Consider the following 14,673-nt stretch of genomic DNA (forward strand, 5'->3'; position numbering starts at 1 on the left):
TTCCACCAGGACCCTGTGTGGTTCTCGTGATGAAGCAGTAGGTTGCTTTATAATCGTGCCGGAAAGAGCTGCCCCGGCCCTGGTGAAATCCCAGCAGGAGCAGCGAGTGGGCTTAGGAGATTCCCATCCTCCATCCCGTCCCTACCTTTATGCAGCCCCAGCTTCTCCCAGGGCCCAGCCTATCTTCTCAAGGTGCACAAATGTGTCAGGGTACTCATGGTTGGGCTGGTGTTTGGGAGCAGAGGAAGCATGGCAGGTTTACAAGCTTTGCAGGTGGCTCTAGAAACTGATCCTCAGGGTAGCCTGGGGCAGAGCCAGTTCTCTGTGTGGATGAGATGTTGGAAGGTGGGATGCACTCCAGCTCCAGGAGCTCACTGGTTCCATATACAGTCCTGGGGCATGATGGCAACAGGGTGTTTCAGGAAGGCGGCAGGCACATCTTACAGAGATACCAACTTGCAAAGATTATAATAAAAACCAGACAAACAATGGCTGAGAAGGGAATAAGCCGAGGCCCCAGGTAATAATTCCACATCTTTCCCTGACCCCTGCAACTTGAGTGAAATCCTGTACGGCAGACCACGGGTGAGGCTGCAAAGAGAGAGTTGGGCAGTTGGAGACACAAACCCTGGGAAAGCCAGATAAGGACGTGTCCACGTGTATTCTAATGGCAGAGCACACGGCAGGCAGGAAAAGAACCACAGCCAAAAAGAGTTATACATCGGGTGGGTGACCTGGGAGGCGCTCCATGGAGAAGCTGTGTTTTAAGCTGAATTTTAGAGGAAATCAATATTGGGATTGGCAGAAAACATGAGAGTGACACTGAGCAGTAGCTTGTCGCACGCCCCAGAGCTGTACCACCCATAGGAGCAGACACTGGGGTCTGGGCAGAAGGCAGTTACTAGGAGAGGCTTGTGTTTGTTTCTGAAACTCAGGTGGTAACACAGAGTTTAACCTATATTTCAGGGAAAAAAAAAAGTGCTCATGTCAAGGAACTAGTCAGTCCATCAGACAGAACCCAGGCTGGCTGAGTTCAGAGTCCTTGAGGCTTTGAATGTTGTTTGGTTTTTGAGACAGGGTCTCACACTGTCATCCAGAGTAGAGTGCAGTGGCTTGAACACAGCTCACTGCAGCCTCAACCTCCTGGGCTCAATTGATCTTCCCAACTCAGCCTCCCAAGTAGCTGGGACTACAGGCACATGGTACCATGTCTGACTAATTTTTTAATATTTTGTAGAGATGAGGCCTCACTCTGTTGCCCCAGCCTGGTCTCAAGCTCCTGGGCTCAGACGATCTTCCTGCCTCAGACTCCCAAAGTGCTGGGATTAAGGCATAAGCCACTGCACAAAGCCAGTTCTGAATGTTTGACCCCAGGATCGGGGCATGGTGTGGCTCAAACTGGCAACTTTAGAGATTTGAGGGTTGGAAGTGGGGGTAATAAAACCTGTTTCTAAAATAAAAGGGTTTATTATTTATTAAAGCTATCTGCATGTGATTTCTCCCCTCCAATGCACCCAGCAGCCCTATGGGTGTGATGGAATGGGTACAACACACGTTTCAGACAGGGAAACTGAGGCCCAGGGCTGTGAAGTGACTCACTGCCATCGTACTCCACAGTATTCTGGTTAGGGGAGCCATGGACTTGATGCAGACAAAGCAGTGTGGAGGGACGGGGGCAGGAAGGATGTGTCGACCACCCAGGAGGGGCTGTACCAGGAACTGAAAGGGTCGAGAGGCCTCCACCCAACACCCTCTGTTCTCCCCAGAGTCCACTCTTTCTGCCTGTCTCAACTCTAAAGAGGAAGGGGCCATTCTTCTGCCCTCCAGCCTCTACCATGTCTAGGCATGTGCCAGCATCACCATGCTCTGTGCTATGGGAGGTAGGACTCTTGGATGTCCCTCCACTCCTGGTTTTCTTCCCCAAGGCCTCTAAACGCAGGGAATATCTGCCTTCTCCAAAAACCCAAACAAAACAAGCCCTTCCCAGCAGCCCATGCCTGTCTTTTCCTCTGTCCCCTCCACCTTGATATCTTCCCTCCCCTGGCTTTTGGTGCATGGGAGCCTCTGATGTCCTCCTAACCTTTGGTCCCACCCACATGTGACCATAAGGCACAGTCTATCTCAAGAAACTTAACAACTAATAGCTTACTATTGACTGGAAGGAAGCTTTGCCAATCACATAAACAGCCAATGAACACATATCTTGTATGTTATATGTATTATACACTGTATTATTACAATAAAGTAAGCTAGAGAAAAGAAAATGTTAAGAAAAACTTAAGGAAGTGGAAAAACATCACGAAGTGGAAGTGAATCATCATCAAGGTTTTCACCCTCATCATCTTCACGTGGAGTTGGCTAAGGAGGAGGAGGAAAAGAGGGCTTGGTCTTGCTGTCCTGGAGGGCAGAGGCAGAAAAGGTGGAAGAGGTAGAAGAAGAGACAGGCACACTCGGTGTAAATTTTATTGAAAAAAAAAAATCTGTAAGTGGACCCGCGCAGTTCAAACCCATGTTGTTCGAGGGTTAGTTGCATTTGATATTTGCTGAGTGATTCATCAGAAACTTTGAATTTGTCTTATGAAAATGTAGTAGGAGAAAACTCTGTGAAACAGCCCAGGGATACCGAGTTTGATGAACTGCATTTGCTTTGCTGAAGAGAGGATGGAAGGGTGTAGTCCTGACTCACACATGGTTCTGTGCTTTTCGTCCTCCTCTTGCCGTGGTATGACTGGCAGTTCAACCTGGTGTGTGCTGACTCCTGGAAGCTGGACCTCTTTCAGTCCTGTTTGAATGCGGGCTTCTTGTTTGGCTCTCTCGGTGTTGGCTACTTTGCAGACAGGTATGTAAAGGCCAGTCCAGGTAAGCCTCCTCTGAATGTCATGAGAACAGATTCTAAGGGCGAATCTGTTCTCAGTGGTGGAGAACATGACCAGTTGGAATTAACTGCAGAAGCTGCTGGAGACAAGACACAGTGGCCCCTGCTTTGGGATACTGTGGGGCTACCAGGGGAGTGGTGGAGAGATTTGAGGTGTGTTTCAGAGTCCAAGCTGCATGCAGATTGTACAGTTAGTGGGCTGAGAGAAAGCGGGGACACAGCCAAGATTGATGCTTCCAGCAGGTGCCTGGTCGTGAGGCCATTTTGAGATGGGATGCAGAGGGTTAGGAAGGGATTTTGTTGCAGCGGTTGATAGGGGAGAGGTTATGGAGGAAACTAGGGCTCTTAGAGATGTTAGGTTTGGAGATGAGTTGCACGGCCTGAGACATCTACGAAGAGATGCCAAGGAGCCACTTGGGTATGTGAGTGAGCTCTGGAAAGGGGTCTGGGCTGGAGTTCAATATCGGGGGTTTGTCACCAGTAGTTGGTATTTAAGGCTGTACAGCATATCAGGATGTGCTGGAAGAGGGTGTCGAGAGAGAACTGCAATGCAGAAAGGTAGGCAGGGAAAGTGCCCTGGGAAAGGAGACAGGAAAAATGGCAGCGAGATCGAAGGACAACTGTTCTCCAGGGCGCTTGTGGAAATGCACCAGGAGACCACGAGGAGGAGTGGTCAGAATCTGCTGTGGGGGGCCTGGCACCCAGGACAGGGTGGTTGGAGAAAACCCGAAGGCAGGAGAGTGGAGTTGTGTGAACAACTCTTTAAAAGAGTGTGGGGAGGGTCCAGGATGAGGAGGCTGATAGGGGAGGGAGTCAGGGATGCAGGAAGAAGACAGGGGCCAGGGAACCCAGGCCTGGCTGGGGGTCTGAGGCCCAGCTCAGAGGTGGAGACAGAGAGAAGGGACAGAGAGCCAGGTGCTGCCGCAGGAGACAGGGAGAGGGGACAGAGCCAGGTGCTGCCCCAGGAGACAGAGAGGGTACAGAGCCAGGCGCCACTGCAGGAGACAGGGAGAGGGGACAGAGCCAGGTGCCGCTGGAGGAGACAGGGAGAGAGGACAGAGCCAGTCACTGCCCCAGGAGACAGGGAGAGGGGACAGAGCCAGGCACTGCCCCAGGAGACAGGGAGAGGAGACAGACCCAGATGCCGCTGCAGGAGACAGGGAGAGGGGACGAAGCCAGGTGCCGCCACTGGGGCTGAGCATCCCTGGTTAGAAGACGTGGGTTCTGGCAGAAGTTCCTATGTTTTCACAAAGGGCAAGGGTTTACTGGCCGGTTTGGGGCTGTCCTGAGGCGGGGTGGAGGTCTGAGGCCAGGGGACACAAGGTGGACAAGTGAAGTGGCCTAGTGGAGGCAGATGGGGGTGGCAGAGGGGACGGGGGCGGCAGGCGGGTGGGGAGCGTGGGTGGGCGGGCACACTGCATGGTCTGCCCTTGGCTTCTTTCCTTGGCTCTTGGAGAACATGGGGTGTGGTCAAAAAATTGGGTGGGAACAGTGCAATCCCAGCGAGTAATTTGCCCATTTCATTCCCGGAAAAAGGAGAAGAGAAACAGCCCTGTATGGCTACACTATCAGAGCTGAATATGGCACTGAAAAGCTTCCATGATGGTTGATAAGACTATGGGAGGAAGGAAGCCTGGTTTGGGTGCAGCCTGACCAGTGGCGATAATAATGATGCCATCTGCTAAATATGAAGATAAGGCAAGGGGACAGGCGTGAACTGGAGAGGGTCTGCGGGCACTGCCCGGCTGAGCTGTGATGCTGCTGGGAGCGCTCAGACTCCTCTTCAGACCCGGAAGGGCTGCGGAGCTTGTTGGGACAGATGAGCAGGCTGGGCGGTGCACTGGGCACTGCTGTCCTGATAGACCCTGCAGTCTCCCAGGACAGTGGTGCGGTGGCCTCCGACTGTGACCCTTGGCATCCCACCATGCATGTCTGACCCCAGATTTCAACCTCTCCCACCTGCCCTCCATGTCTCCTTCTCTCTGAAGGTTTGGCCGTAAGCTGTGTCTCCTGGGAACTGTGCTGGTCAACGCGGTGTCGGGCGTGCTCATGGCCTTCTCGCCCAACTACATGTCCATGCTGCTCTTCCGCCTGCTGCAGGGCCTGGTCAGCAAGGGCAACTGGATGGCTGGCTACACCCTAAGTAATTATCATGGGGATGAGGCCAGGTCTCAGGGTAGAATGGGATGGGCCTAACGTGGGTAGGGGGTTGTTTGTGGGGTCAAGGAGCTTGCGGGGCACCAGTTCCTTGTATTTATGTGACTAGGGCAGGACATGGGCTAGAATGGCCTCCTCTCTTTTTGTGTCTGAGACACTTAAATTATCACTTAGATTACTGACCTATTAATCAACTAATCTATTTGGGGAACAAAAAGACCCCATGCTGATGTGCTCACAGCAGTCAGGATGGGGTGCAGAAGAGGAGATAAGTGAGAGAATATTCTAGCATTTTACATAAGAAAGAACCAGCAACTCCTTAAAATAAATACAGCAAACTTGACGGGCTTGAATGGCACTCAAGAATTAGGAAAGAAAACAGGAGCAAATAAAATAAGGATTGTGAAAATCAGGATTTTGAAAAAGTTGAAGTATAAACCAACATGAGGAGTTTTACATATCAGCCTTTTTTTCCCTTTCAAATATTCTAAGGTTAAGAATACAAAACAAAAAACCCTTTCCGGGAGGAATGCAGCCTAAGAGTCATCTGTACTTCCCCAGGCCAGGGCACGGCAGCCAGCAGTGAGGATGAGCCACACTTTTACTCATTTGTGGGGGAGAAAAAAGAAATAGCCTGTCTTTTCATCTTTGAAAACAAGGTGCTATCACTTGGCATTCTGAGAACTCATTCACTAGGGCCAAGAGGATCCACGTTCCCGCCTTGAGAAGCCATGAGCAGCCTGGTGAAGCTGAGCTGGCTCAGCCCCATGCGTGTGGAGCCTGTGACAGCCTCTGCTGCTAGGCACCGTCCCACACATGGTTTGGGGGGTCTGACCCGGGGCCACATCCACGCTCCAACACCACCCGCAGCCCCTCCACCCACGACTCCCCTGACTTCCTTTTCCCCTTTTCATTTTTGTTCCCGTTACACGTATCACGCTCTAACATAGGATTGCATTCTCTTATCTGTGATGTGGAGCGTCTGCCAAATGAGGTCTCCCAGGGCAGGACTCTACCTCCTATGCTTAACGATGTGCCTCAGACACCCCGCACAGTACCAGGTCCCCAGGAGGCACTCAAAGATATTTGCTAAATGAATGAACACCCCTGGGGTCCTGACAAATATTCCAGCTGAGTCTGGAGCTTCTCGAGGAAGGCGTTGGGGAGGAGAGGCCAGTGGACTGAGTCCTGAAGCAGGCAGAGGGGAGTGCAGATGGTAAAGGAGCAGACGCGGAAAGCGACGGTCAGGGAAAAGCCAGAGAGCCAAGCAGCCTGGTGGATCTCCGGGGCCTTGGTTTGATGGGTCCGGGGCCCCGGTTTGATGGGTCCGGGGCCCCAGAGAGAAGGGGAGGCGTGAGCGCGGCTGTGGTTTGCGGGAAGGAGAAATGGGAGACACACAAGAGAGAAGCCTGGGAGCAGGTGAGGCTGGGCAAGGCCGGGTGGGAGCTTCCCGCGGGGAGACAAGCTGGACTGGGGCCCCGAGCTTCTGAACGCACGGCGTCGGGCTCCTGGGCTCCTGCAAGGAACCCGCATAACGTCCACACCTCCTGTTTCAGTCACAGAATTTGTTGGCTCGGGCTCCAGAAGAACGGTGGCGATCATGTACCAGATGGCCTTCACGGTGGGGCTGGTGGCGCTTACCGGGCTGGCCTACGCCCTGCCTCACTGGCGCTGGCTGCAGCTGGCAGTCTCCCTGCCCACCTTCCTCTTCCTGCTCTACTACTGGTGAGGCCCTTCCTCCTGCCTACGGGGAAGGGGCGCCGGCCACCCCTCTGGCTGCGCTTTCTGTCCTCTCGAGGGACCAGTCTCTTGGAGTGGGGGGCGCCTACAGGCCGTCTTCCAAAGGCCATGGTGTCCACATGCATAACGCATGGGGCTGCGCGGAGCCCGGCGCTTCCCACACTCATGACGCATAGGGATGAGCTGGTCCCGGGGTTTCCCACACGCATGACGCATAGGGATGAGCTGGTCCCGGGGTTTCCGACACGCATGACGCATAGGGATGAGCTGGTCCCGGGGTTTCCCACACGCATGACGCATAGGGATGAGCTGGTCCCGGGGTTTCCCACACGCATGATGCATAGGGATGAGGGGAGCCTGGGGCTTCCCACATGCATGATGCATAGGGATGAGCAGAGCCCGGGGTTTCCCACATGCATGATGCATAGGGATGAGCAGAGCCCGGGGTTTCCCACACGCATGATGCATAGGGCTGCACAGAGCCCGGGGTTTCCCACAGGCATGATGCATAGGGCTGCACAGAGCCTGGGGTTTCCCACACGCATATCGCATGGGGCTGCGTGGAGCCAGCGCTTCCCACCGCTTGTACTGTTCAGGTTGTTCTGTTATTACCAGGCGGCCCAGGTTACATGTGGAGCTTTCCTCAGACAAAGCCTCTTTAGATAGGTTCCCCCAGATAAAGGTGGGCCATGCCAAGAGTCGGACAGAAATCCAGGAAAACTCAGGGCCTCAGCATGTGCACTTTCCAGAAACACAAGGCTGAACCTCACTCCCGGGTGAAGGAGGCAGCTTTTTGAGGGTTGCTCAGTGGCCTTGGGAAATCTGTATCAGCGTCCAGTGGTAGGAAAGGCTCCACAGGTGGCAATCCCACTGCAATGGCTACCACTCCCGAGAGTCCCCTAGAGTCCGTCCCAGGGGTGCTGGCATGAAGTCAGATGCTCTGTTATCTTCTTGATCCTCTCCCTCTTCCCCCTCTTCTCTTCCTCTCTGCTGTCATCTCTGCTCTTCTCCCACTTCTTCATTTTTATAGTACTATTGGTATTATTATTAAGACACTGAAATACCTCTCATCTAGCCATAGAGCAGGCATTTGATCTTGATTGAATGAATGAGTGACAGAATGAAGGAACAACAGGCCTGCTCAATGCAACCTTCTCTGGGGACTGTGTACCCTGAGCCATTATGACACAGAATCAGTCCAAACAAGGTGTTAATCATATTAGCTGTGAGTGCTTCGCAGAGTCTGAAGGGCAAAGAACTCCACAGGTCAGTTTTTATTGTGGTGGAGGGAAGAGGGGGTAGCAGAAAGGTCCACAGAGAGGAATTTCTCATCCCTCCACCTTTTGTCTTAGTTTTGCTGAGAGCAGACCTCATCTGTGGGTGGCACTAGAGTTAACCCAGTCTCTCTAAATGAAAGAGTTGTACACGTATGGCCAGGGAGTTCTGAGGAGCCTGCCCTTCCCCTGCCTCGTCCTTGTGAAACAGGGATCTCTCCAGCAGAAAGGCAAATTCTGCATGCTCAGGCAGGGTGAGGCAGTCAATGCCGGCCAGCTTTCAGAAGACCCTTATGCCAGAGAGGCCCAGTCTTTGAGTTGTACCCTCCTCGTCCCATTTGAAATAGACAGCATGGTGTTGATTTGATTTTAAAGGACAGTAAATACATTTTATTTTGTTTGAGAAATATTTTGAGAAGTGTTCAACAGCCCTTGTATTGCCTGGAGATGTCCTGGTGTCATCGGGTAATATACATGGAGCATCTGCTCTGTGAGTGTTTTCCGTGGGGGACAAAGGCTGCCCCAGGAGAGATGAGGCCCCTGCTGCACAGAAGGAAGGCTACATAGGAAGCGATGGCTCCCTTTTGGTCTATAAATCTTAGGTGACACTAGGAGTCTGAGTGACCCACAGAGCTGTGACCTGGGCCACATGGGCTAGCGCACAGTGACCCCAGGTCCTCATCCTCTTGAGGGATTACAGCCCCAACGTGGGGAGGGCAGGCTGCACTGAGCAACAGCATCACCCCGCTCAGGGCTGAACGTCAGACCGAGGAAAATGCCAGATAGTGATGAGTGGTGTTCGCAGGTGTGTGCCGGAGTCCCCTCGGTGGCTGTTATCACAAAAAAGAAACACTGAAGCAATAAAGATAATGGACCACATCGCTCAAAAGAATGGGAAGTTGCCTCCTGCTGATTTAAAGGTGAAATCTAGGAAGGGGTATCTCACATCACTGAATCTGGGGCTGGGTTCTGGTGCAGATTCGTCTGGGGCTGCCAGGGGAAAGAGCAGAACTGTGCCCCTTGTCATGGGTGTGAAGCACGGTGGTGGCAAGGCTCACCTCCCCAGGGGCTCCCAGGTGGCTCTGCTCATGACAGCGTGAGTGTGGCTGATGCTCTCCCTCCCTCCTAGATGCTTTCCCTCGAAGAGGATGTCACCGAAAAGCTGAGCCCTTCATTTGCAGACCTGTTCCGCACGCCGCGCCTGAGGAAGCGCACCTTCATCCTGATGTACCTGTGGTGAGGGGCGTTCCTGTGCGTCTCTCCAGGCAGAATCAGCACGCTCGCCCAAGCACTGGGCTATAGATTAGAGACAGTGGAATACTCAGGTGGAAAAAGAGAAAGGGAAAAAGAATTGTAATATAGTTGTGAGTGGTCAAAGAGCTCTTTTTGTTTCTCCCTTGGGGATTGAATAATAAGGAAAAGGCTTCATTTTAGTGAGGAGCATTTGTTACCTTTGGGAGATCACCAGTGGGATGAGAGAAATAGGATAAAGGGTTATCGGGGCTGCCTCCGTTCCACATGGTCTCATCTTCTGGGAATAGCCAAGTCTTGACTCGGCGTCAGAAGGTGGATGAGAGCTCCTGGAGCGTTCGAGGAGGAAGTTCCATTCCTCATATCTAAACACCCTAGAGACCCTACCTGAGCATCTCTGTGCATTTGTTACCTATTGACTAGAGAACGCACACCCACATGGACCCACGCACACACGCTTTGCACATTCCAGGGGTCTGCATGCTCCCCCAGCTGCTGTCACGAGCAGGAATCCCCTGCCCTGCTCCCTAGGAGGATGCTGGCTCACCTCCTCCGCACAAGGGCTTTCCCCTCAGCATACAGTGAGGGCCCCCCAACTGCACTCTGGGCCTGGCCCCTTCAGCGGGAGCAGCTCCGCTACCCAGGCACACTTGTTTGCTCTTCTATGTGAGGTTTTATTGGAACAAAGAGTTTGTAGTAAGTCAGTGCCTGGCATATTGCAGACCCTAAATCAATATTTGCTGAAAGTTGAATGAGTAAACACTGTGCCCCAGAATCTGTCCAGGTTCAGTGTGTCCTGTCCTGCCTCAACCTTCACCCTCCCTGTCTCCGAGTTTGCCGCTGGGGTCCTGCACCCAGCCACATGCTGGGCCCGTGAACCTTTGCAAATAGCCCCATGTACCTGGTGGGTTTCCATGGATACTCAGTGTTGAACTCAGCATGGAGGCTGGGACTGGCCGCTGCAGTGGAAGTAACTGCCCGCTCTGCTACGCTGTTCAGCTCCCCTCCCCAGCTCCGAGACTCCCCACAAGGCAGTGTTCTTGACTCTTCTGTTCTGTTACCCCCACATCCAGTCCTCTGGCAAGTTCCATCAACTGGCTTGGAAATGCCTTCAGAACCTGCTGCCTCCCATCTTGGGCACCCTGGGTTCCCTTGCTGGGGTTGTAGTAGCCCTGTCCTTGGCACTAATTCTTTGTATAAATGTCAGCTGTCTCATGGACAGTTCTGCAGCATCTCTTACCTGCATTACTGTAGGCACCTTCTGGGTGGCCTGCTGGCTTTACCCATGCCCCTCGGTGCTCCACAAAGCAGGCAAAGGCATCCCTTAGAGCTCAACAGACCTTGTCTCTCCCTGTTTACCCTCTGCTGGCTTCCTAATCACTGAGAATAAAGCCAGATCCTTTTCTGTGGCCCACAAGGCCTCACGCCTTTGGCCCCTGAACGCCCTTTTCTACTGTCCTGCTGGTTGTCATGACTGAGACTCGAAAGGTCTGTCCACCATGTCCTGGCTGTGTGACCTTCCAAAGGGCCTTAATCTCTCCGTGACTCAATTTCCCCCTCAGTAATGGGAGAAGTGATAGTACCTATCTCACAGATGTGTTGGGAGGATTAAGGAGATTATATGTGTAAATGACATAGAAGAGGGTACAGCATCCATGCAGGAAATGTTCAATGTCAATGTGGTTTTTTTTGTTATTTTAATACACACATGCAATTCATGAGCTCTGCCCACAGGTGGCAGCCCGGCACATTTGTTAACTGGCTTGTTGACAGGAAAATCAAGGTTACACGTTCCTTTCTCTTAAACCAGTTTCTTTATCAGTAATATGACTGCTGTCTTTAACTGGCTAAATGGTACAGAGGCACTCAGGCTAACCTCAACTCCTTGAGTTGCAGGCAAGCACCTTGTTTCTTGTTCTCTTGACCCTTTGTCCAATCAGGAATAATTTAGGACTAGAAACAAAAGCATCCCAATGCTTCTTTAGGCGAAATTTTATCAAAGAAGGATACATTCCTTAGCAACATGCATTTTCATCTCAGTTTTGGAGCTGATAGGCAATCTGCATGCTGGGATGAGACAGTAATTTCTTATTGACCCAAATCTGTTCTCACAATGTAAATATGACTGTAAAAGCTTTCTAGCTTCCAAATGATATTTTCCCCCCGAAGTGACACATGAGGCACCCTACATTTTGGCTCAGGTGAGAGTGATTTAGCTAGGCCTCGGGTCTGTGTGCCATATGCTGTAATGTTGCTACATTTTCTCAAATATGGACGGAGGGGGTGTGCAGTGAATGGAAGAGCGTAGGTGAATCAATAGCGCCCACTAAGGACAGCACAGTAAAGGGCCGGGAATGCCATGGTGCGGTTGGAAAGACCTGGCCCATGCCTCTGTCTGTTGTGCCCTGAGTCTTCTGAGTGCCCTGAGTGCATACTGTGTGCTGGGAACTATAATTGGCACTTTTGTACGCTAATTCAGTGAGTACTCAAGACAAACAGATGTGGGAGGTACTATTACAATCCCATTTACAGACGAGGGAACTGAGGCCCAGAGAGGTTAGTTAACTTCCTCAAGGTGACACAGCTCATAAAGCAATCCGACACCTGGCCCCTTACTTCCTGGTCTCTCCTGCCCACCTCCTCGTAGGCCTGTTGGGGTGTCAGATGAGGTACGCACGTGCAGGGCTTGGTGCAGAACCAGACATTTAAATCTGCAGTGAACAGTAGCCATCCTCACGTGCAGTCTCCAGGAGACTTGGAGGCATATCCTACAAGTCAGACTCTCACATCTATCATGAAAAAAATGTATCATTGGGGCCCTTCTAGGACACTCTTTCTCATTTTTACTCCCCTCTTCTCATATTGCTCTAGGGCATTCTAAACCCAGTGATTCATGCTCTTTCTCCATCTGCGAGGGGCTTTTTTTTTTTTTTTTTTTCTTCAGTCTCTGACTCATGCCTTTGACTTGAAACCTCCTCTTGGCTCAGGTTCACGGACTCTGTGCTCTATCAGGGGCTCATCCTGCACATGGGCGCCACCAGCGGGAACCTCTACCTGGATTTCCTTTACTCCGCTCTGGTCGAAATCCCGGGGGCCTTCATAGCCCTCATCACCATTGACCGCGTGGGCCGCATCTACCCCATGGCCATGTCAAATTTGTTGGCGGGGGCAGCCTGCCTCGTCATGATTTTTATCTCACCTGGTAAGTTGGTAAGTTGTCTGCTTTCATCATTTCCCAGGCAATCGAAGTGTGGGGAAAGTGTTGTGACTCTTTGATAAGCCTCTGGAATGAGAACAAAGATGAGGTGCTACCTTTGTCTACAAAGTTTTTTTAGATTTTAAATTGAGGGGCCGTGCACAGTGGCTCATGCCTGTAATCACAGTACTTTGAGAAGCCAAGGCAGGTGGATCACCTGAGGTCAGGAGTTCAAGACCAGCCTGGCCAACATGGTGAAACCCCATCTCTACTAAAAATACAAAATTAGCCGGGCTTGGTGGCGGGCGCCTGTAATCCCAGCTACTTGGGAGGCTGCTTGAACCCAGGAGGCGGAGGTTGCAGTGAGCCGAGATCGCACACTCCAGCTTGGGAGACAGAGTACAACTCCATCTCCCAAAAAACAAACAAACAAACAAACAAAAAAACCCCCAAAAACAGCAAAAAAAAAAAAAATTAAATTGAGTTTTAACATACATACAATCAGCAAACTATAAGTGCATGACTCCATGAGTTTTTAAAAATGTGTACACCCGGGCAGCATGATCCACGTAAAGATGGGGAACCTTTCCAACTTCTCCAAAGCCTCCCTCAGGCTCCTTCACAACAACCCCTGCCACCCCTCCAAGGTCACCACTACTCTGCCCTTTGTCAGCACAGATTGTGCCTGTTCTTGAGCTTCATATAGATGGCACCATACCAAATATACTGTTTTTGTTATTGTTGTTGTGTTTTGAGACAGAATCTTGCTCTGTTATTCAGGCTGGAGTTCAGTGGTGCAATCACAGCTCACTGCAACCTTGAACTCTTGGGCTCAAGGGATCCTCCCGCCTCAGCCTCCTCAGTAGCTGGGACTACAGGCGTGAGCCACTATGCCCGGTTAATGTTTTTATTTTTTGTAGAGATGGGGTCTTACTATGTTGCCCAAGCTGGTCTCAAACTCCTGGGCTCAAGCAATCCTCCCACCTCAGCCTTTCAAAGTGTTGGGATTATAGGCATGAGCCATTCATCATTGCACCTATGAGACCCACCCATGTTGTCACATGAGAGTGTAGTTGGTACTTCAAACAAAATTATTGTGTAGGATTCCACTGTATGAATATGACACTCTGCATCCCTTCCACTGTTGATTGTCACTTGTGTTGCTTCCAATGTTTGCCACTTATTGGGACTAAAATCATCCTTGCACGTATCTTTGGGCAGGCACATGCTTTCATTTCCCTTGGGTACAGGTCTGTGAGTACACTTGCTGGGTCCCAGGGAGGCATATGTTTAGCTCTAGCAGACACTGCCAAACAGCTTTCCAAAGTGGTTAGACCATTTTATACTCCTCCCAGGAACACATGGGAGCTCCGATTACTCCAGATCCTCCCAACACTTGATCTGGCTCATCTTTTTAAGAGTGGCCATTTTGGTGGATGTATACTTTAGTCTGTAATTCTTACAATCAAAGATAAACCAAGCTACATTTAAACCTAAAGCAGATTAACTTCAGTCAGTTTTAATTTGAGTACGTAAATTGCCTTTCACATTCATTGCTCTTGGATATGTTGTAAAATAAATACAAGGGCAGATCTGCTCTTTTCTCAGTTTTTACTGCGTGTGCTCTGCACTTGCTGATTTAGTGAGTCATTTTGGCAGGCTTTCGTGCAGGGTATTGTAGAGACTGTTCTGTGAAATCTGTATGCCCAAGAACTAGGCTGTGTAGATCAGGCTGGAAAGAAAAAGGGTTGGGGAAAGAAAGCTCAGTTTTCTTTTCCCTTTTTTTCATGGAGAAAGAACAGAGAACACAGGAAAAGGGGCAGCATGGATCTGAAATAGATTTTGCTCACTTTCTTCCCAATCTCTCTGTTTCTGGAATCCTGGGTAAGATGTGATGGATGGGCATACTTTTAAAAAGTTCACAGCACTGAGTGCCAAGAAGGAGGGCCATCGAGGGCTAAGTCCATTCAGTTGTCACCTGGACAGAGCCCAGGCATCGTCCCCTCCCCAGCCCCCTCCTCCCAGCTCCTGTCCTCCCCTCGTCCCTCTGTCTTAGTCCTTATCACATTTTAGGACAGTCATTCATTCAACCCGCAGGAAATATCTCCAGGCCTTCTATATGGCTGGCAGGTATCTAGGTCCTAGGATTTCAACCATGAGCGAAGCAGAGAGAGTTCCTG

At 51.1% G+C, this 14,673-nt stretch overlaps 1 protein-coding gene across 4 annotated transcripts in view, besides 1 other annotated feature; it reads left to right on the forward strand.

Moving 5' to 3' along the window:
- The window catches only part of SLC22A1 (solute carrier family 22 member 1), a 36,904-nt gene that overhangs the window by 5,554 nt on the left and 16,677 nt on the right, over positions 1–14,673 (forward strand). For all 4 annotated transcript variants that reach the window (XM_005267103.3, NM_003057.3, NM_153187.2 and 1 more), the window contains exons 2-7: positions 2,736–2,839; positions 4,864–5,018; positions 6,589–6,757; positions 8,852–8,966; positions 9,176–9,282; positions 12,285–12,499. In XM_005267103.3, the coding sequence (XP_005267160.1) occupies positions 2,736–2,839; positions 4,864–5,018; positions 6,589–6,757; positions 8,852–8,966; positions 9,176–9,282; positions 12,285–12,499 (865 nt within the window). The remainder of the gene's footprint in view (positions 1–2,735; positions 2,840–4,863; positions 5,019–6,588; positions 6,758–8,851; positions 8,967–9,175; positions 9,283–12,284; positions 12,500–14,673) is intronic.
- Positions 6,524–7,723: an enhancer, noted in NCBI's record as "P300/CBP strongly-dependent group 1 enhancer chr6:160554924-160556123 (GRCh37/hg19 assembly coordinates)". NCBI's record gives its function as "activates an origin of replication core promoter dependent on BRD2, BRD4, P300/CBP, MED14 and CDK7 cofactors, with strong dependence on P300/CBP, by STARR-seq in HCT116 cells {active_cell/tissue: HCT116}" and the evidence as "EXISTENCE:reporter gene assay evidence [ECO:0000049][PMID:35650434]".

This window comes from Homo sapiens, chromosome 6 (genome assembly GCF_000001405.40).
Source record: "Homo sapiens chromosome 6, GRCh38.p14 Primary Assembly".
NCBI classification, from domain to species: Eukaryota; Metazoa; Chordata; class Mammalia; order Primates; family Hominidae; genus Homo; species Homo sapiens.